Source organism: Homo sapiens, chromosome 1, assembly GCF_000001405.40.
Source record: "Homo sapiens chromosome 1, GRCh38.p14 Primary Assembly".
Taxonomy (NCBI): Eukaryota; Metazoa; Chordata; class Mammalia; order Primates; family Hominidae; genus Homo; species Homo sapiens.
In genome coordinates, this window is record NC_000001.11 from 150,837,703 (window position 1) to 150,859,566 (window position 21,864).

The 21,864-nt window shown below is 41.8% G+C and overlaps 1 protein-coding gene across 38 annotated transcripts in view, besides 8 other annotated features; it reads right to left on the minus strand.

The window, feature by feature from the left end:
• The window catches only part of ARNT (aryl hydrocarbon receptor nuclear translocator), a 66,887-nt gene that overhangs the window by 27,990 nt on the left and 17,033 nt on the right, over positions 1-21,864 (minus strand). For 16 of the 38 annotated variants that reach the window (XM_047420719.1, XM_017001295.2, XM_047420711.1 and 13 more), the window contains 5 exons: positions 20,647-20,758; positions 15,060-15,104; positions 8,561-8,605; positions 4,722-4,766; positions 1,739-1,952 (listed from right to left, as the gene is read on the minus strand). In XM_047420719.1, the coding sequence (XP_047276675.1) occupies positions 1,739-1,952; positions 4,722-4,766; positions 8,561-8,605; positions 15,060-15,104; positions 20,647-20,758 (461 nt within the window). Of the gene's footprint in view, positions 1-1,738; positions 1,953-4,721; positions 4,767-8,560; positions 8,606-15,059; positions 15,139-19,306; positions 19,329-20,646; positions 20,759-21,864 lie in introns of those variants that run through there. The other 22 variants (XM_047420740.1, XM_047420734.1, XM_047420716.1 and 19 more) reach the window with 6 other exon arrangements.
• Positions 7,984-8,128: an enhancer, noted in NCBI's record as "145 bp 1:150818234 sequence used in MPRA reporter constructs". NCBI's record gives its function as "activates a minimal TATA-containing promoter with rs7514004 allelic activity by MPRAs in C283T melanocytes {active_cell/tissue: C283T}" and the evidence as "EXISTENCE:reporter gene assay evidence [ECO:0000049][PMID:36423637]".
• Position 8,056: a transcriptional cis regulatory region, noted in NCBI's record as "rs7514004 or 1:150818234 MPRA-significant variant associated with a GWAS melanoma risk locus at 1q21.3". NCBI's record gives its function as "allelic transcriptional activity by MPRAs in C283T melanocytes {active_cell/tissue: C283T}" and the evidence as "EXISTENCE:reporter gene assay evidence [ECO:0000049][PMID:36423637]".
• Positions 12,181-12,834: an enhancer, noted in NCBI's record as "H3K27ac hESC enhancer chr1:150822359-150823012 (GRCh37/hg19 assembly coordinates)". NCBI's record gives its function as "activates a minimal SCP1, AML or CMV promoter by ChIP-STARR-seq in naive H9 embryonic stem cells {active_cell/tissue: H9 hESC(naive)}" and the evidence as "EXISTENCE:reporter gene assay evidence [ECO:0000049][PMID:30033119]".
• Positions 12,835-13,487: an enhancer, noted in NCBI's record as "H3K27ac-H3K4me1 hESC enhancer chr1:150823013-150823665 (GRCh37/hg19 assembly coordinates)". NCBI's record gives its function as "activates a minimal SCP1, AML or CMV promoter by ChIP-STARR-seq in naive H9 embryonic stem cells {active_cell/tissue: H9 hESC(naive)}" and the evidence as "EXISTENCE:reporter gene assay evidence [ECO:0000049][PMID:30033119]".
• Positions 15,261-15,405: an enhancer, noted in NCBI's record as "145 bp 1:150825511 sequence used in MPRA reporter constructs". NCBI's record gives its function as "activates a minimal TATA-containing promoter with rs10305673 allelic activity by MPRAs in UACC903 melanoma cells {active_cell/tissue: UACC903}" and the evidence as "EXISTENCE:reporter gene assay evidence [ECO:0000049][PMID:36423637]".
• Position 15,333: a transcriptional cis regulatory region, noted in NCBI's record as "rs10305673 or 1:150825511 MPRA-significant variant associated with a GWAS melanoma risk locus at 1q21.3". NCBI's record gives its function as "allelic transcriptional activity by MPRAs in UACC903 melanoma cells {active_cell/tissue: UACC903}" and the evidence as "EXISTENCE:reporter gene assay evidence [ECO:0000049][PMID:36423637]".
• Positions 16,581-16,725: an enhancer, noted in NCBI's record as "145 bp 1:150826831 sequence used in MPRA reporter constructs". NCBI's record gives its function as "activates a minimal TATA-containing promoter with rs11582281 allelic activity by MPRAs in C283T melanocytes and UACC903 melanoma cells {active_cell/tissue: C283T | UACC903}" and the evidence as "EXISTENCE:reporter gene assay evidence [ECO:0000049][PMID:36423637]".
• Position 16,653: a transcriptional cis regulatory region, noted in NCBI's record as "rs11582281 or 1:150826831 MPRA-significant variant associated with a GWAS melanoma risk locus at 1q21.3". NCBI's record gives its function as "allelic transcriptional activity by MPRAs in C283T melanocytes and UACC903 melanoma cells {active_cell/tissue: C283T | UACC903}" and the evidence as "EXISTENCE:reporter gene assay evidence [ECO:0000049][PMID:36423637]".

The window sequence follows — 21,864 nt, forward strand, 5'->3', positions numbered from 1 at the left end:
TACGAAATAATAACCAAGTCTATAGCCCTAGACATGACTAACGTTTTTTCCTGAGCTTTCAGCAGACTTGAATTTCAAGTATCTGTAAAATATTTATAAATATTCTACCAGCAACTCAACATCAACATCCCAAAACCTGAATCATTATTTCCCTCTTAAAAAAAAAAACCTGCCGTGCTCTTCCAATATTCTTAACAGCATCCTCCTAAGCTAGAAGCCTCAAAATCTAACTATTCTCTCACATTCCAGTGATAATTCAGTTTTATCGATTCTACTTTCCAATGCTTTGTCACTGTCCTAGTCATCTTTTACCAAAACTAATTAAGTAGTCGCCCTGCTTTCAATCAATCCTTAAAATGCTACCAGATCTAATACATTTTTTATGTCTCCCCACTGCATAAAAATTAAAATCTAAATTCTTTAACACCTAAACATTCCATCATTAGATCCCAGCCTACCTTCCTATTATCTACCAAAAACATGCTAAACCACTTGACTTTCTTTGCATAACCCAATTATTCCACACTTCTAGGTTTTTGCTCAAGTGCTTCCCAAAATCCACAACACTACTCCCCAACTCATTTTCCATATCTGCATTTTACAGGATTCATTACAGCACTTCTATTATAGAACTAGTTCTATGTTTAATTTATTTATTTACATGTCTGTTTCCACCAGAAAACCATTTGTCTCACCATTCTTTCTATTTCTCACAGCACAACACACCTGGTTTGCCCACAAAAGGTGCATAACTGGAGTCTGTTGAATACTTGCACATGTACTGTTAGAACATATTAACTATTTCAATGTATATAGCTACAAAGTATGTAGTTTTAAGTAGACCATCCTATTTGGAAAATTCTTATTCCATTTTCTCAAACTATATTCTCTCCTTCTTTCTAATCATTTGATTAAATTGGTGGCATTAAGGGAATACTTGATTGATACTGAAGTAAATTTTTTTCTTCCTTATACCTCCTACATTTTCCAAATTTTTCTGCAATGATCATGTTATTTTAATAACCAAAACAGAACATGGCTTCCTTACCCTCAGAAGTCTTCCCTAACCATCCTCACTCAAGTCTAGCCATTCTATTCACTTTAGCCATCCCTTCAGTATGTCTATCTAGTCCCACATAAAATTACTAATTAAAAAATACAATTCCTCTCTTTATGCATTTTCCTGTTATTTTCTGTGATATCCTGCCACTCACATACTTATATTCAGATGAAGTTCCTGAAAGGCAGAAAATGTTTACGCCTTCTTTTTTTCATAGTGATCACATGTAACAGAGCACATCCCTAAGCAACAATTAGACTCTCAGTTCTTCTATCACCAAAGGTGGGACAGATTCATTCTATTACTAAAACTAGAAGCTGCTTCAGGGATAAGAAATAGATTTCTTCCATCTTCTATAACCCTAAAGGCAAGAAAGAAAATTGGTTCCATGGACATAGTCATTTCCTCTGTGATTCCACTGTTCTTCTTCCATCCTATATGCTATATTCATGAGTCAAGTTCTCAAATATTAATACTTATTAGCTTATTAAATAGTTTTCACAACTCTTCTCTACTTCTCATTGTCCCAATGCTAATTAATGTTATAGCCAAGGATTGAAATTCGTTTTCCCATTGTCTGACTTCTTCCTGAAAAGCTGAATTCTTGTCCAAAAAACGAAAACTTTCAAGAGATTCACCCAGATTCCAGACTCTCTCAGAACTATAAGTCCCAGAGACCTGATCAGTGAGGAAAGACGGCTTATAGGAGCCATCAGTGGATGTGTTGCCAGTTCCCCGCAAGGACTTCATGTGAGAAACTGCCATGCGTAAGATGGTTAGCTTGTCTGGTTTTCGAGCCAGGGCACTACAGGTGGGTACCATATCTGACAGTTCTGTGATGTAGGCTGTCATCTTGTTCCGTCGCCGCCGTTCAATTTCACTGTGATTTTCCCTGCATGGAAAGAAAGAGAAGCCCCATCCAGGTGGTCACATCTGGTCATTTGGTAGCAGGGAGAGTGATATGGATACCAAGTGTGCTGCTGAAGAATGTGGTATTCAGATTTAGTGATGCTTAAGTCTCAGCAGTTAAAATAAGGTTTGCCAACCTTCTCATGCAAAGCAAGCATGAAACAGAACTAATAAGGCAGACAGAGAACAAGAAGATAATGTAATTCCCTTCCCCCTATTTCCTGGAAACTTCACATCCTTTGTAAATTACCACTCCCTCAGAACAAAAGCTGTTTTAAGAAACGACAGGTCAGGCATGGTGGCTCATGCCTGTAATCCCAGCACTTTGGGAGATGGAGGCAGGTGGATTACTTGAGGCCAGGAGTTTGAGACCGGCCTGGCCAACATGGTGAAATCCTGTCTCTACTAAAAATACAAAAATTAGCAGGGCACAGTGGCATGCATCTGTAATCCCAGCTACTTGGGAGGCTGAGACAGGAGAATCACTTGAATCTGGGAGGTGGAGGTTGCAGTGAGCTGAGATCACACCACTGCACTTCAGCCTGGGTGGCAGAGCAAGACTCCATTTCAAAAAAAAACAAAAAACAAAAAACAAGAGAAAAAAAAAGATAGTATTTTTAAATGCTGATTTTACTCACTTAAGTTCCTATGGAACATATAACCTCAGCTTGGTTAACTCCCATGCTTACTAATTCAACTATTTAAAGGCCAGAAAATAAAAGGACCAATTTTTGCCAACTCAAGTATGTGGCTCCATAGCTGATACAAGAATTGATAGTACAGATTTCCTTGGTCTATAAAATATGGTAAGCCTCTCTCTTATTTGCAACATTAAAAGGCAGAATTTGAAGATTTTGAAGTTTTATTTGGCCCATTAATGCACAAAGTCCTACCTTCTTTATCTGGGTGTGCTGCCAGTGCACTAAACTTCTTACAAGACTTAAGATACACCATCTACTAAAAGTCCCATATGGGTCCCCAGTCTGGGACGAAGTTAACTGGAGGAGTGGAATGGAGAGGAGGATGATTAAAGGTCTGACAAGACAATTTGAATCTCACCCAGGTAAATAGACCACAGCTCCAACACTGACTTCCTCAAAATTAAGACAGAAAGATATCACTGTTAACAGGAATAATCCAGCAGTTTTCCAACAGGAATTTTTAAAAGCCCATTAAGTTTCTCAGTGTCCTCCATGGGGATGCCTCAAGGAGATAATCATGCAACATGCTGCATTTCTGCTTCTACTCAAATATTTGCCTTATCTCTCTTCTTCTTTTTTTTTTTTTTTTTTTTTGAGATGGAGTCTTGCTCTGTCACCCAGGCTGGAGTACAGTGGCGGGATCTCGGCTCACTGCAACCTCCGCCTTCTGGGTTCAAGCAATTCTGCTATCTCAGCCTCCCAGGTAGCTGGGACTACAGGCGCACACCACCACGCCCAGTTTTTTTTTTTTTTATTTTTAGTAGAGACGCGGTTTCACCAAGTTGGCCAGGATATTCTCCATCTCTTGACCTCGTGATCTGCCTGCCTCGGCCTCCCAAAGTGCTAGGGTTACAAGCATGAGCCACTGCGCCCGGCCTGCTTTATCTCTTTTATTTATTTCTGTTACCACTTAAGAATTCTACTTGAACAAAAGTTCTTTGTCCAAAAAAAAAAGAAAGTAAGAAAATTAAAAATCTAACATAAATCTCTTTTTTCTGAGAAGAGCAAAGGGAGGTCAAGTAGGTAAGTGACTTTCCCCAGGCTGCTCTCTTCCCAATACAATGTTTTCTCCACCACATCATGCCAAATCCATTTTCTGAACAGTGAAAGGGTTAGTAAGAAGCTCGAGTTAAACTGGCAGCAAAATGAGTTTGTGACCCAGATTAAAGAGGAAATAGTAGAAAAAAGGGGGAATATAGTAAAAATGGGTATTGGCATCAATGATCTATTTCCTAAGTCACCCCCAAATCACAGATACTAGAAAACAGAAAAGTCTATGCATATTTCTTCTGCAGCATTTCTACATTACAAACAACAGTCTCCCAAGAGAATTCTAGAGTCTCCTTTCTAAATGGCAAAAAGGGTCTCACCACATAGGCCCATATTTAGTTACACTTTGCCTAAGACATAAAATTCTATTCTCAAACATAAAGCACTCATCTTCCTAGTATCTGACAGATTTCTGACACGTAAGTACAGAAACCTGGTCTTTTAAATAGCCACATCAAGGAAACTAAAACTTTTCTAGAAAACTACCGCAAGAAAGGATTCGGTCACCAAAGCAACACTAGTTCTGTTGTGAGAATAATCTAGGCTGTGAGTCTTCATAGGAAAATAGGTGTGAGTTTCCTAGAGGTGTGGAGTAAATGCTGAGGCCTAAATACTGGGAACTAATCACAAATACAGATATATTTATTGGTTTTCTGATAAAAAGAGTATTTCCCTGTTAAAGCACCAACTGGCACGGTTGCATTCCTTCTAAGAGCTTTTTGTTCTGTGAAACTTAGTACTGACATAAAGAGAAAAAGAAAAAAAAACTTAAAACTAATAGCAATTTCTTAAATCCCTAAGCAAAGTTCCCTCAACTCACCCACTTTCTGATGGGGGAAGCCAAAGTTCCTGTTACACTCAAACTTCTAAAAAATCTTGTCCTCTCTTGCCACAGATAAGGAAAAATACAAAGAGAAAGGGGAAGAAAAGAAAGAGTAAGAAAAAGGATAGAAAAAGCAGCATCATCTGCTTCATCATGCTAAAAGACACTGTTCTCCTACCTGGCAAGTCTCTCTTTATCCGCAGAGCTCTGCTCATCATCCGACCTAAAAATAGAATTAATGAACTAAGCTAAAATTAAAATAAAAAAGAAGGAAGGAAGGGGGGAGGGAGGAAGGGAAAAAAGGAAGGAGGGAGGGAGAGGAAATGGAGGGAGAAAAAAAAAGAAAAGGAGAAAGAAGAGAGAAAAGGATATAGAACTAAACAGATGCAGAGAAGAGAGGAGGGAAATGGAATTATAGGCAGGAACCTTGCCTGTAACTCTACAAAGCCATCTGTTAGGATAAAGAAAAAGTAACTTACAAGATAAAGGTCAACATAAAAGCAAAGCCAATATATAGTAAATTAACATGATCTAAACACAGAAAGCATTTTGCCAATCGATCTCTGTAGGGACCAAAGATATACAGAGTCTGAACAAGAACCAACCAAGGGAATTCAGGAATACCATTTTCATGCACTGCTCCCAATCTGGAAAGAAAATGATATCCACATGTGCTATTCTATAATGAAGAAATTAAAGACAGAGTACATTAAAGATGATACTATCAAACAAGTGATGACAAATATAATCTCTCTCCCTCTCACACAAACAACACATGCACGTGCCACACAATGACAAAATAACCAACCAGATTTCACTGGAGAAATTATATAAATAACTCTAAGAGGTAGGTTTCTGGCATATCTTCTATTATTGATTTGTTCCTAAAATAATTATTAACTTTGATTCGGTCCTTTTGCCATTTCTCTGCAGTATAGCCACACAGGAATGGATCAAAAGTAACAATTCCCTCTCCACTGGAGAAGGATACAAAGAACCATCACTAAATTTTTCTAGAAAACTGAGATACTGTAATGATGGGTGGCAACTGAGGAAATAGCAAGGTGTTGGCAGGCCATTGTGTCAGGAATGTGTCAATTCCATTTTAAATATATTTATATAGATAAAGAGGCCCTGAATAAAATGTCTAAGTATGACAGGTTAACAAGCTAAAAGATTATTTAGCTATTAAAAATGACAAATACAATAACCTTATCAATATATGGGAATGTTTTTATAAAATGGTCAATAGGCAGAAAATAACACAGTAACAATGAAGAAGAATGTAAAAATTTACGCATATATTCTGATGACAAGAGAAGGAGAACTGAGTGATATTCAGCAGTTTAGAGTTTTACATTCCTTGGGTTATTTCTTCTAGATAGTTCCTTAACAAACTACAAACTTCTTTTTTTTCAAAAAGTTGAGCAACTTTTGCCTCTGCCTCCCAAAGTGCTGGAATTACAGGCATAAGCCACCACTCCCGGCCTCTTACTGTCATTTTTAAAAGAACAGGACTAACCAGGCATGGTGGCTATGCATATAATCCCAAAAGTTTTTCAAGAAGTTTTCAGCTTTTAAGACCCTCTATATCCCAAGGAGGATATGTGAGGGGCACTACCTTAACACATCATATGAATGAATTCTGTTATTTAAAAAAAAGTTAAGCATCTAAAATTCCTATTTCTACTACTACTACTACTACAGATCCACAATCCCTAATCCACCTCAGTATTTCTGAATGAAATATATGCACATTAAGCAGGACAAATGAAAACCAAAATCATTCATGCGATGTTTTCATGGCTTTTTGAAATTTCATCAAGATACTGCCAATAATAACTGATGGCCTGACTTTTCAATGAAGCTTGAAAAACTATCCTCCAAATATCTATGATTAACTTCTCATTTTAGAGATGGTTCACATCCTAAAGACTTTACAAATATTTATTTCAATTAGTTTCGATAAACAAATTATTCTTCAAAAACCTCTTAACTTCACTCCTTTCCTGTTACCACTGCCACTGTAACCCAGGCCCTCATGATTTTATAGCTGTCTTATTATTTCAACAGCTTCCTATCTACCTCCCTACAGTCTAACAGTCCATCCCTTTAATCAATTCTATAACTGCTACCAGAGAAATATCCCTACAATGCATTTTATGTAATACCCTCTAATTCAAAGCCTGAGATTGCATCTCACCACTCCAGAATAGTTTTTAACTACTTCCCCTGATATTTCTAATCTCTCTACATCAACGGTTCTTAAAGTATGTTCCCGAGACCAGGAGCATCAGCAACGAACAAATACTAAGTGCTAAGTGCTCAGTTAATCACTGGATTTTGAAATAACGAATTATTCATCTTTCTGAGGTAGCTACAAACTTAATTTTCAAAAAAGAAATAATTTATTGCCTAATATTTAATAAAAACTTTCTAAAAAGAAAACTGACATTTAAGAATTTAATAAAAAAAAGTATATTTCATCATCTTGATAGGTAATTTAAACAAATTTAAGTTTTTTTCAATCAAAACTCTACTTGTCACAAAAACTGTTTCCTTACTGTCTTTTTTTTTTTTTTCTGACACAAAATCTTGCTGTCACCCAGGCTGGAGTGCAATGGTGCCATCTCTGCTCACTGCAACCTCCACCTCCCGGGCTCATGCAATTCTCATGCCTCAGCCTCTAGAGTAGCTGGGATTATGAGTGCCCACCATGATGCCCGGCTAATTTTTATATTTTTAGTAGAGATGGGGTTTCACCATGTTGGCCAGGCTGGTTTTGAACTCCTGACCTCAAGTGATCCACCTGCATCTGCCTCCCAAAGTGCTGGAATTACAGGCATATGCCACCACTCCCCGCCTCTTACTGTCATTTTTAAAAAAACAGGACCAACCAGGCATGGTGGCTATGCATATAATCCCAATATTTGGGAAGCTGAGGTAGGAGGATCACTGAAACCCCAGAGTTTGAGGCTGCAGTGAGCTATGATCATGCCACTGTACTCCAGCCTGGGAAACACAATGAAAACAATGTCTCTAAAAAATATACATATCTTAAAATAAAATAATAGGCCAGGCACAATGGCTCACACCTGTAATCCCAGCACTTTGGGAGGCTGAGGTGGGTGAATCGCTTGAGGTGAGGAGTTCGAGACAAGCCTGGCCAACATGGTGAAACCCCATCTCTGCTAAAAAAAATTATTACAAAAATTAGCTAGGCATGGTGGCAAATGCCCATATTCCCAGCTACTAGGGAGGCTGAGGTGGAAGAACAGCTTGAACCCAGGAGGCAGAGGTTACAGTGAGCCGAGATTACACCACTGTACTACAGCATGGGTGATGGAGTGAGACTCTGTCTCAAAAAAATAAAATAGGCCGGGTGCGGTGGCTCACACCTATAATCCCAGCACTTTGGGAGGCCGAGGCGGGCGGATCACAAGGTCAGGAGTTCAAGATCACCCTGACCAACATGGTGAAACCCCATCTCTACTAAAAATACAAAAATTAGCTGGGCGTGGTGGCAGGGGCCTATAATCCCAGCTACTCAGGAGGCTGAGGCAGGAGAATCGCTTGAACCCAGGAGGTGAAGGTTGCAGTGAGCCGAGATGGCGCCATTGCACTCCAGCCTGGGCAACAGAGCAAGACTCTGTCTCAAAATAAATAAATTAATTACAGAACCATTATCTGTATTCCTATTTTTGTAGATCCATTTAATAATAAATGCAAGCACAAAATCCATAATTTGTGCTCCTATGGAAACCTTGCAAGCACATTGCTTTAGTTATCACATACACAGAAAAACACTGTATAAAATATACCGCCAGTTTGAAGCCATGTCACCTGAACATAAATGATAGTTATAATACTAAGTTTCACATACTTCCAAATAGGAAAGATATTAAACAGAGAAATTCCGTCTCATCCAGAAAAAATTAAGTCAATATGCTAGGACTGTCTGGTTCTACAACATGGATCATATTATATATTACAATATATTACCTACTACAATATTACCTGGCAAACCGCTCCTTATCGTTAGACATCTGATCATCATCACACCTGAAGGAGAGAAAAAGGATTGTTTCAAAGCATTACACTTGTTATATCTATTTCACTCTGAAAAGTAAACTAGAAAGGGGTGAAAATATTCAATAGAAAAAAAGCCAATGGAAAAGCATCACAAAGTGATAGAAATAACAGCAGCACCCCATAGAACTTAAAAGACCCACAACTATTATTTGTCAGGTTTCTGGTATTTCCATTACCCTTACCAGACACACCAAAAAAAGATGATGATCTAATGACAACACAGCTGACTGGCCTGTCAGCACAATTCTAAAGTAAGGGGTTAGTTTTGGGTTTTTTTTTAATTCTGGTAAAAAACACATAAAATTTACTGTATACCATTTTTAAGTGTACAGTTGAGTAGTGCTAACCATATTCACATTGTTGTGCAACAGATATCTAGAACTTTTTCATCTTGCAAAACTGAAACTCTATACTCATCAAACACCATTTTCTCATTTCTCCTTCACCCCAACCCCTAGCAACCACCATTTTACTTTCTGTGTCTATGAATTTGACTACTTGTAGATACCTCATGTAAGTGGAATCATACAGTAATTGTCTTTTTGTTATTGGCTTATTCTTTCAGTATAATGTCCTTAAGATTCATCCATCTTGCAGCATATGACAGGTTCTTTCTTTTTAAGGCTGAATAATATTCCCTTGTATGTACATACTACATTTTCTGTAACCATTCATCTGTCAGTGGACATTTCGGTTACTTCGACCTCTTATCTATTGCGCAAAATGGGCCAATAAACATGAGTGTGCAAATATCTCTTCAAGATTCTGCCTTCGATTATTTTGTATATATATACCCAGAAAAAGAAGGGGGAGGCTGGGCGCAGTGGCTCACGCCTGTAATCCCAGCACTTTGGGAGGCCAACACTGGGCGGATCACGAAGTCAAGAGATCCAGACCACTCTGGCCAACATGGTGAAACCCCGTCTCTACTAAAAATACAAAAATTAGCTGGGTGTGGTGGCACGTGCTTATAGTCCCAGCTACTTCGGAGGCTGAGGCAGCAGAACCACTTGAACCTGGGAGGCGGAGGTTGCAGTGAGCTGAGATCACACCACTGCATTTGTGGCAACAGAGCGAGACTCCGTCTCAAAAAAAAAAAAAAAAAAAAAGAAGGGGGAAAGGGAATTCGGCAGTGCTTTTCTCAGGCACAACAACCCGACTTGGTAAGATAAACTACGATAGTCTTTTTTTATGGTTAGGAAAAGGACAAACGAACCTCTCTTTGGATCTGCATGTAGTTGTGACTACTGGATTTTATGGAAGCAATGACTCAGGGTTAGAGCTAATTCACGGGTATAAAAAAAGACTAGTGGTTACCCTCATATCTTTCATACACACAGTGAAGTTCCACTAATAGCATGTATCATTATAATTCAGGATTCTCAATAGGAGGAATTCTCAATAAAGCTGTTTGAAAAAGTCTATCTTCTCCAGAAATTGAAATCTCTTCCCTTCTTCACATTTACTGAGACTCATTAAGTCTCAAGAGACCTCTTAGAGAATTATACTTCCACTTGCAACTATTTCTTTATGATGGCCAAGTCACGGTTGTTGTTTTCAAGAGTATTTGGCAAAGTTCATCTAGTGAGTAGCCAGAAATATGAGCCTTAACTTTAAATGTTACTATAAAAAAAGAAGATAGATGCTATTAACTGTATGAAGCAATATAAAACTAAAAAATGGCAAGCAATTTACAATATGGACATCCTTTGTGTAAAAAAAACTGAGGAGATAAGTGTGTGTATGCTCACACATACACATTTATATACAATTCTATATATACTATTTTTGGAAGGATACTCAACAAACTGGAAACTGTAGTTGTCTAAAGAGTTTTGAAGGTCCAGGCTGGGGGCAGTGGCCCACACTTGTAATCCCAGCACTTTGGGAGGCCGAGCCGAGTGGATCAGGAGTTTGAGACCAGCCTGGCCAACATGGCGAAACCTTGTCGCTACTAAAAGTACAAAAATTAGCCGGGCATGGTGGCAGGCGCCTGTAATCCCAGCTACTCAGGAGGCTGAGGCAGGAGAATAGCTTGAACTCAGGAGGCGGAGGACGCAATGAGCAGAGATCGAACCACTGCACTCCAACGTGGGCAACAAGAGCGAGACTCCTCTCAAAAAAAAAAAAAGGAGTTCTGAAGGTCCAAAGTAAAACGAAGATGTGCTTTCACTATATATAACTCTGCACTGTTTGAAATTTTGTTGTTTTTCTTTTTTGAGGCAAGGTCGCCCAGGTTGGAGAGCAGTGGCGCAACCTCGGCTCACTGCAATCTCTGCTTCCAGGACTCAAACCACCCTCCCACCTCAGCTTCCCGAGTAGCTGAGACTACAGGCACACACCAGCACTTCCAGCTAATTTTTGTAACATTTTTTGTACAGATGGAGTTTTGCCATGTTGCCCAGACTGGTCCTGAATTCCAGAGCTTAAGCGATCCACCCACCTCAGCCTCCTAAAGTGCTGGGATTACAGGTGTAAGCCACCAGGCCCAGCCTGAAATTTCTGTAATAAAATACACTTATATTACTTTCCCAATTAAAGAAAAAACTTAGTTAACAAAACAAACAAATAAGAAAAAGAAATGGGCCGGGTGTGGTGGCTCATGCCTATAATCCCAGCACTTTGGGAGGCCGAGGTGGGCGGATCACCTGAGGTCGGCAGTTCAAGACCAGCCTGACCAACATGGAGAAACCCCATCTCTACTAAAAATACAAAATTAGCCGGGCATGGTAGTGCATGCCTGTAATCCCAGCTACTCGGGAGGCTGAGGCAGGAGAATCGCTTGAACCTGGGAGGCAGAGGTTGCGGTGAGCCGAGATCATACCATTGCACTCCAGCCTGGGCAACAAGAGTGAAAATCAGTCTCAAAAAAAAAGAAAGAAAGAAAATAAATAAATGATATTAAATCTGGGCACCCACACAATCAAATCATTTTTTTTTCATTGGGCTCCTTTATCAAATTGTCTGTTACTCAGCAACGTACAGACTACCTGGGTAATATTTTCAACTCTGGAAAGAAAAAAAGCAGATTGCGGTCAAAGTTCTCTTCCTTTTGAGTCTTACTGTTTTTCTTACTTGAAAAGAAGACAAGCAATTGGTCTTCAGCAAGAATATCCCCCTTTTCTGAAAGAACTCCTTCATCAATATATTAAAAGGTCCATTTTCAGGCCGGGTACAGTGGCTCATGCCTGTAATCCCAACACTTTGGAAGGCCAAGGTGGGAGGATTGCTTGAGCACAGGAGTTTAAGACCAGCCTGGGCAACATCATTTTAAAATTAGCCAGGTATTATGGCTCACACCTGTAGACCCAGCTACTTGGGAGACTGAGGTGGGAGGATCGCTTGAGCCCTGGAGTTCGAGGCTGTAGTGAGCCGAGACTGTGCCACTGCACTCCAGTCTGGGTGACAGAGTAAGACCCTGTCTCAAAAAAATAAGAAGAAAATAGGCTGGACATGGTGGCTTATGCCTATAACCCCAGCCCTTTGGGAAGCTGAGGCAGGTGGACCACTTAAGGCCAAGAGTTCAAGACCAGTCTGGCTAACATGGTGAAACCCCGTCTCTACTAAAAATACAAAAATTAGCCAGGTGTGGTAGTCCCAGCTACTCAGGAGGCTGAGGCACTAGAATCGCTTGAACCTGGAAGGCAGAAGTTGTAGTGAGCCAAGACTGCAGCACTGCACTCCAGCCTGGGCAACAGAGGAAGACTCTGTCTCAAAAAAACAAACAAATAAATAGTCCATTTTAAAAGCTCCAGAATATTAACAACTCAAAAATACAAATTCCTCACACCTGTAATCCCAGCACTTTGGGAGGCCGAGGAGGGCGGATCACGAGGTCAAGAGATCGAGACCATCCTGCCCAACATGGTGAAACCCTGTTTCTACTAAAAATACAAAAATTAGCCCTCTCCCTCTCCATCTCCCTCTCCCCACGGTCTCCCTCTCCCCACGGTCTCCCTCTCCCTCTCTTTCCACGGTCTCCCTCTGATGCCGAGCCGAAGCTGGACTGTACTGCTGCCATCTCCGCTCACTGCAACCTCCCTGCCTGATTCTCCTGCCTCAGCCTGCCGAGTGCCTGCGATTGCAGTCGCGCGCCGCCACGCCTGACTGGTTTTCGTATTTTTTTGGTGGAGACGGGGTTTCGCTGGGTTGGCCGGGCTGGTCTCCAGCTCCTAACCGTGAGTGATCCGCCAGCCTCGGCCTCCCGAGGTGCCGGGATTGCAGACTGAGTCTCGTTCACTCAGTGCTCAATGTTGCCCAGGCTGGAGTGCAGTGGCGTGATCTCGGCTCGCTACAACCTCCACCTCCCAGCCGCCTGCCTTGGCTTCCCAAAGTGCCAGGATTGCAGCCTCTGCCTGGCCGCCACCCCGTCTGGGAAGTGAGGAGCATCTCTGCCTGGCCGCCCATCGTCTGGGATGTGAGGAGCCCCTCTGCCCGGCTGCCCAGTCTGGGAACTGAGGAGCGCCTCTTCCCGGCCGCCATCCCGTCTAGGAAGTGAGGAGGGTCTCTGCCCCGCAGCCCATCCTCTGAGATGTGGGGAGCGCCTCTGCCCCGCCACCCCGTCTGGGAGGTGAGGAGCGCCTCTGCCCGGCCACGACCCCGTCTGGGAGGTGAGGAGCCCCTCCGCCCGGCAGCCGCCCCGTCTGAGAATTGAGGAGCCCCTCTGCCCGGCAGCCACCCCGTCTGAGAAGTGAGGAGCCCCTCCGCCCGGCAGCCGCCCCGTCTGAGAAGTGAGGAGCCCCTCCGCCCCGCAGCCGCCCCGTCCGGGAAGTGAGGAGCATCTCCGCCCGGCAGCCGCCCCGTCCGGGAGGTGGGGGGCAGCCCCCGCCTGGCCAGCCACCCCGTCCAGGAGAGAGGCGGGGGCCAGCCCCCGCCCGGCCAGCCGCCCCATCCGGGAGGGTGGTGGGGGCGCCTCCGCCCAGCCGCCGCCCCGTCCGGGAGGTGGGGGGCGCCTCTGCCCGGCCACCCCTTCTGGGAAGTGAGGAGCCCCTCTGCCCGGCCGCCACCCCGTCTGGGAGGTGTACCCAACAGCTCATTGAGAACGGGCCATGATGACGATGGCGGTTTTGTCGAATAGAAAAGGGGGAAATGTGGGGAAAAGATAGAGAAATCAGATTGTTGCTGTGTCTGTGTAGAAAGAAGTAGACATAGGAGACTCTATTTTGTTCTGTACTAAGAAAAATTCTTCTGCCTTGGGATGCTGTTGATCTATGACCTTACCCCCAACCCAGTGCTCTCTGAAACATGTGCTGTGTCCACTCAGGGTTAAATGGATTAAGGGCGGTGCAAGATGTGCTTTGTTAAACAGATGCTTGAAGGCAGCATGCGCATTAAGAGTCATCACCACTCCCTAATCTCAAGTACCCAGGGACACAAACACTGTGGAAGGCCGCAGGGTCCTCTGCCTAGGAAAACCAGAGACCTTTGTTCACTTGTTTATCTGCTGACCTTCCCTCCACTATTGTCCTATGACCCTGCCAAATCCCCCTCTGCGAGAAACACCCAAGAATGATCAATAAAAAAGAAAATTAATAAAAAATAAAAAAATAAAAATACAAAAATTAGCTGGGCATGGTGGCACGCACCTGTAGTCCCGGCTACTTGGGAGGCTGAGGCAGGAGAATCGCTAGAACCCAGGAGGCGGAGGTTGCAGTGAGCCGAGATTGCACCACTGCACTCCTGGCGACAGAGCAAGACTCCGTCTCAAAAAAAAAAAAAACAAAAACAAAAAATACAAATTCCAATTCCTGCTACCTATAAGAGGTGTCAACAGGTGTCAGAGGGTATGACAGAGTCACAGATTAATGACACCTCAACCAATGAATTACACCTCTCAGTATGTACTTCCTTGTGTAACCCCCTCACACACTCACACCTGGAACATATGACTTGCTTTGGCCAATGGGACATAAGCAAATGTCATATAAGCAGAGGCTTGATAAGCACTTGCACACTGGGATTTGTGCTGTAGATTGTAGCCATCACCACATGAAAAAATTCAGTCTGGCCTCCTTGAGGATAAAAAAACACATAGACAGAAATACCCAGCCATCCCAGCTGAGTCCAGTTCTCAGCTGACCAGCTGAGAATGCAGTCTTATGAGTGAGTCTAGGTGAGATAAGCAGAATAAACATGCAGTCAATCCACAGAATTGAGAAATAACGAACTGTTGTTCTTTTTAGGCTATGAAGTAGCAGAGAACTGATACAGAGGGTTTGTAAATGCCGTCCTCTCCTCACTGAGGTCCTTTCTCTAGAGATATTAACGGAATGCTTAAAAATTTTCTGAGATATATGAATATTTATAGTTTTAGGATGAAGTACTCTCCTTAGACCTAAGGACAAAAATTTACAAGTCAGAAGTATAAAGATCATAAACTAATTTTTAATATCAGACATCTAAGGAAAGTTTTTCAGTCTCTTACCTCAAAAATTTACTGTTCCCTTCTCCATCATCATCAAAATCCAGCCTGAGGAAAGCCAACAATAAATACTTTAAGCCTGCTGATAATACAAAACATTAAGAAGTTAAAATTTCTCAACACAAGCTACCGGAACACCCACCCAAATGGAAGAATGGAAAGAGGAAGTGGCAGAAGTCAAACAAAGCTACATTTCCTCTTGTTCATAGTCCCAAACTAGGCAAAGAAGTACAAAACTGGGGCCAGGAGTGGTGGCTCACGCCTGTAATCCCAGCACTTTGGAAGGCTGAGGTGGGTGGATCACCTGAGGTCAGGAGTTCGAGATCAGCCTGGCCAACATGCTGAAACCCCATCTCTACTAAAAATACAAAAATTAGCTGGGCATGGTGGCGGGTGCCTGTAATCTCAGCTACTCAGGAGGCTGAGGCAGGAGAATTGCTGGAACCCGGGAGGTGGAGGTTTCAGTGAGCCAAGATCGCACCATTGCACTCAAGCCTGGGCGACAACTGCAAGACTCCATCTCAAAAAAAAAAAGTACAAAACTGGGCAATAGAAACAAAAGTACCTTCTGCTACCTTAACACTTTCCTAGAGTAGCAGTCAATCTTTGCCAGAGTTTTCAATCAGACTACAACCTCTGTAAAGGGAGCAGGAATCCACTCAGAAAAAATAAGAAAAAATTAACGTAAATAATTCAGGTCCATGTTTCATTTCTAGAGTCTGCTCTAAGCCGTGTTACCAAATTTCTGAAACATCTTTCAAAGCAGTGATCTTACATAAAGGAGTGACTTAATACCTACGAAGATTGTTAGATAATGTTTCTTTCCTTCATTGATCTAATAAACATGTAATATATACTTCATTCAAGACACTGTGCTAGGTGAGGTAAAAACAAGAACCTTGCCCTCAAGGGGCTCTTCACCTAGAGAAATACAAATATAAAACAAGTGAGAATAGGAAAGTGTCACATAAGGGGTACAATCAACATGCTACAGACATTCAGGGAAAGAAGAAGTGAATTTCTTTAAAGGAGATTAGGAAAGATTATAAACAATAAAATAGACCAATCCCCTTATAATCTCTGTACACTATTGAACTAAAATATTGCTCATGTTACCACCTTAACCTAGTGATCACTCTTTTTACTTCTACTATTGGGATACCTTGATATTATGGGCCTCTAGATGGGTCGCATTTGAAGTACACATACAGCATCAATCCTGAAAGTGTTTGCTCCTCTTCCTCCTTCCTGAATCCCCTAATCTGGTCACCTGTAAAATCCTATCTATCTACCCAGTAACTCAAATTCTTTCTTTCTCTCTATCTCTTCCTTTCTTTCTTTTTAAGAGACAAGCTCTCACTCTGTTACTCAGGCTGGAGTACAGTGGCATGATCATAGCTCACTGCCACCTTGAGCTCCTGGGCTCAAGGGATCCTCCCATCTTGGCCTCCCAATTAGCTGGAACTATAGGAGCCCACCACTGCACTCAACTAAATTTTTTTATTTTAAAAAATCTCAGCCAGGCATGGTTGCTCACACCTGTAGTCCACGCACTTTGGGAGGCCAAGGCGAGCAGACTACTTGAACTCAGGAGTTTAAGACCAGCCTGGGCAACACGGTGAAATCCCGTCTCTACAAAACATACAAAAACTAACCAGGCATGGTGGCGCATGTGTAGTCCTAGCTACTTGGGTTGGGGGGGCGGGAGGGGCTGCAGGCCTTGAGCCTGGGAGGTCAAGGCTGCAGTGAGCTGAGATTGGGCCACTGCACTCCAACCTCAGTGACATGGCAAGACCCTGTCTCAAAAAAGAAAAGGGGCCAGCCACTGTGGCTCACATCTGCAATCCCAGCACTTTGGGAAGCTGAGGCAGGCGGATCACTTGAGGTCAGGAGTTCAAGACCAGCCCAGTCAACATGGTGAAACCTCGTCTCTACTAAAAATACAAAAATTAGCTGGGTGTGGTGGCGGGCACCTGTAATCCCAGCTACTCGGGAGGCTGAGGCATGAGAATTGCCTGAACCCGGGAGGCAGAGGTTGCAGTGAGCCAAAATTGCGCCACTGCACTCCAGCCTAGGCAACAAGAGCGAAACTACATCTCAAAAAAAAAAAAAAAAAAAAGGGAAGGGGAAAGAGAGGGAAGGAGGGAGGGAAAGGTAATTGCTAAGTCAAAGGAAAAAAATGAAGGAAGGAAGGAAAAGAAAGATAATTGCTAAGTCAAAGAAAAAAAAGTCTCGCCATTTTCCCCAGGCTGGTCTTGAATTCCTGGGCTCAAGTAATCCTCCTACCTCAGCCTCCCAAAGTGCTGGCACTACAGGTATGAGCCTCCGTGCTCAGCCCAATAACTCTATTTCTAAGAATCTAAAGAAATAATATGAAATAGGAAAAAAAAGTTTAGGTACAAAGAAGTTCTTTTTAGCATCATATGTAACAGCAAAATCTTCAAAACAATTTAGATGTCCCAAAATAGGAAGTTAAGTACATCCTTTCACGCAACCATTAAAAATTATGTTTATGGCTGTGCGCAGTGGCTCATGCCTGTAATCCCAGCACTTTGAGAAGCCAAGGCAGGCGGATCACGAAGTCAGGAGATGGAGACCATCCTGGCTAATATGGTAAAACCCCGTCTCTACTAAAAATACAAAAAAAAAAAAAATTAGCCAGACGTGGTGGTGGACGCCTGTAGTCCCAGCTACTCGGGAGGCTGAGGCAGGAGAATAGCATGAACCCAGGAGGCGGAGCTTGCAGTGAGCCAAGATCGCATCACCGCACTCCAGCCTGGACAACAAAGCGAGACTCCGTCTCAAAAAAAAATAAATAAAAATTATGTTTATATAGAATATGTAACAATATTTTTTTAAAGGGCCAGGTACAGTAGGTCATGTCTGTAATCCCAACACTTTAGGACGTCGAGATGGGAGGGCTGCTTGAGCCTAGGAGTTTTAGACCAGCCTGGTCAACGTAGTGAGACCATGTCTTTAAAAAAAAAAAAAAAAATAGCCAGGTATGGTGCCATGTGCCTGTGGTCCCAGCTACTCGGAGAACTGAAGTAGGAGGATTGCTTCCTGGGCCCAAGAAGTTGAGGCTACAATGAGCCATGATCATGCCACTGCACTCCAGCCTGGGCAACAGAGCAAGACTCTGTCTCCGAAATGTGTGTGTGTGTGTATTGCTTATTATTTATATAAGGTGCCAAAATGTGTGTGTGCGTGTGTATTGCTTATTATTTATATAAGGTGAAAAGACTAGGCCATGTAAAACTATATAATTACATAACTATTAAAAACAATTTACATATAAAGACTGAAGGACATGCACTAAAAAACATGGTAGTAGATTTTGGCCTTTTTATTGTTCTTTCTAACTTTCTGTATTTTCCAATCTTTCTTTAAAAGAAATATGGGCCGGGTGCAGTGGCTCGTGCCTGTAATCCCGCACTTCGGGAGGCCAAGGCGGGTGGATCACGAGGTCAGGAGATCGAGACCATCCTGGCTAACACGGTGAAACCCCGTCTCTACTGAAAATACAAAAAAATTAGTCGGGCATCATGGCGGGCGCCTGTAGTCCCAGCTACTCGGGAGGCTGAGACAGGAGAATGGCGTGAACCTGGGAGGTGGAGGTTACAGTGAGCTGAGATCACACTACTGCACTCCAGCCTGGGCGACAGAGCGAGACTCCATCTCAAAAAAATAAAAAATAAAATAAATAAATAAAAGAAATATTAGGCCGGGCATGGTGGCTCATGCCTGTAATCCCAGCACTTTGGGAGGCCAAGGTGGGCATATCACCTGAGGTCAGGAGTTCGAGACCAGCCTGGCCAACGTGGTGAAATCCCATCTCTACTAAAAATACAAAAATTAGCTGGGCGTGGTGGCGCACGCCTGTAGTCCCAGCTGCTTGGGAGGCTGAGGCAGGAGAATCCCTTGAACCAGAGAGGTGGAGATTGCAGTGAGCCAAGATCACACCACTGCACTCCAGCCTGGCAAAAGAGCAAGACTCTGCCTCGAAAATAAATAAGTAAATAAAAATAAAAGAAATATTAAAAGACTTCTTTTAGGACAGGTGAAGTGGCTCACGCCTGTAATCCCAGTACTTTGGGAGGCCAAGGCAGGAGGACTGCTTGAGCAGGAGTTTGAGGCTGCAGTGGGCCATGATTGTGCCTCTGCACTCCAGCCAGGGTACAAGACCCTGTCTCTAAAAAAACCAAAAAGAAAATTTTTAAAGACTTCCTTTAATATATTTTTCTGATTACCAATCATACATGTTCATTTCAAAAATCTGAAAAATCAAAAACAAAAGAAACCGTAAGTCACCCATAATACTATTACCCAGAAATGTGGTATATATTCTTTCAGTTTTTTCCTATGTACATGTTATACATATCTTTTGACAGTGAAATACTATAATACTGTAACCTTTCTTAATAGATTGTGAACATCTTTCTACACTGAAACATATTTGTCGCTTATAACTACATAGCATTCCATTTTAAATATACTATGACTTTCTCAAGTGATGCCCTAATTTTGATATTTATAATACTTTTGTTTGTTACTGTACATAAACATAACACAGTGTTTAAAGAGTAAGCTACAAAGCTAAACCCCTAAGGTTCATATCCTATATCTGACACTTACTAGCTTTACAATCTTAGAAAGTTACTTATTCAGCTTATGCTTCAGCAAATGGTTAAAATCTGTAAAGCTACTGAACATATAACAAGTCTTAATATGTTACTCATGTTACCACTGAACCCAAGCATCACTCTTCCATTACTATTGGTGGGACAAAACTTAAAGACTGGTTATAATTAGCTGCACAATTTTTAAAAAGAAAAAGAAGGAAAAAGGAAAATTTAATACCAAAAAGTAAATAAAATAGTGCCCATTCTTCCAGGCCCCTCTAAGGCAACCTCCTTTCTGAAGCTTTTCTCAGTCTTTACCAACAAATGCATATTTCCATACACAGAAAAACATAGTATCAAATTTGTTCCTAACAAAACTAGGCATATTCTATCATATATTCATGTGTATAATAATTATTTCTATCAGAACACAACCAACTTAGAAACAAGGACTGTGTCTTATTCATCTTTGTATCCTACTTGGAATCAGCACAATGCCATAACACTAATTAGGAATTTAATAAATACTTTTGGAGCTGAATGGACTCTGCATTCCAAACCAAGCAACATATCAATAACTTAGAAGACAGCTATTCTAGAGCTCAGCATTCTCTAAATTCAGAAAAGCAGCCTACCAAAATGATTTTGGGAAAACAGAAACAAAGCTTAATGAAAGCAGCAAACAGTTTTCTCAGGCATAGTAAAATCTCTGGGCTTAGCTACAGTCCTTTATCTTACGGAAATTTTGGTTTAAAAAAAGAACTGCTTACGGGAAACTTGGATAAAAACAAATTCTTCATAAACAAAAATACAGGGACTAAGGAGACTTATATGACAGTAGTGTAGTAAGTAATCAAGTTGAAGTGAGATGGTCAGGAATAGCGAAGTGAGTTCAGCAACTAAATAAATTCAGCAACTAAAGTTGGTTTATAGGAGAGATATTCATAACACACTACACTCAAACTCACCCTGGTCGCCGCTTAATAGCCCTCTGGACAATGGCTCCTCCACCTTGAATTCCAGGTCCAGAGTTTCCAGAGGCAATGGCTGGACCCAGTGATGGTACATCTGATGTCATTTCTGTCAGGAAAATAATGAAGTAAACATTTTTAAAAAGACAGTCCTTGCTTATCATCAGTATCATCAAGTTAGCTAAAAGAAAGGTTCAAGCTATAGACAAAATCTCAGCAGTTTGCTAAAAATCCCAAATGCTCATATCCAGATTGCTCTTCTTGATTTTTTTTTTTTTTTTTGAGACCAGGTCTCACTCTGTTGCCTGGGCTAGAGTGCACTGGTATAATCACTGGTATAGGTCACTACAGCCTCAAACTCCTGGGCTCAAGCAATCCTCCCACCTCAGCTTCTGGAATAGCTAGGACTATAGGCCCGCACTACCACACCCAGTTAATTTTTTTTTTTTTTTTTAGAGATGGGGTCTTGATATGTTGCCCAGGCTGGTCTTGAACGCCTAGCTCCAAGAGATCATCCTGCTTTGGCATCCCAAAGTGCTGGGATTATAGGCATGAGCCACCACACACGGTCTCTTCTTGAATTCTTACACTGGTACAAGATATCCCCATACTTCAGTTCCCCCCATGTCATAGAGTTTGGAAGAAGTACTATATTCTGCAAACTTCATGTTAAAAAGCTTATACATACATAACAATATACTAATATTGTATAGACTTAATAATATACTAATTTTAAAAAAATACATACATAAATGGGTTTATACATTTCATTCATGCAACAAATATTTATAACTTATTTTATTTATTGTGATTGGAAAATACAGAAAACCCCAAAGGAAAAATCACCTAAATTCCAATACTTAAAAGAAAATTATGTAAAGTAAAACTGAAAGTCCCTCATTATTGTCTCCCTTTCCTGCCCCCCGTACCTCTCCTCTCTCCTTCCAATTCAATCTCATCCCCCAGCAGTAACCATTAGTAACAGCTGAGTACTTTTTTTTTTTTTTTTTTAAGACAGGGTCTCACTTTGTCCAGCCCAGGCTGGAGTACAGTGGCATGATCATGGCTTACTGCAGCCTCAACCTCCCGGGCTCCAGTGATCCTCCTGTCTCAGCTTCCTAAGTAGCTGGGACTACAGATGGGTACCACCACACCTCGGTGATTTTTTTTTTCTTTTTTTTTCTTTGTAGAGATAGGGTCTCACTGTGTTCCCCA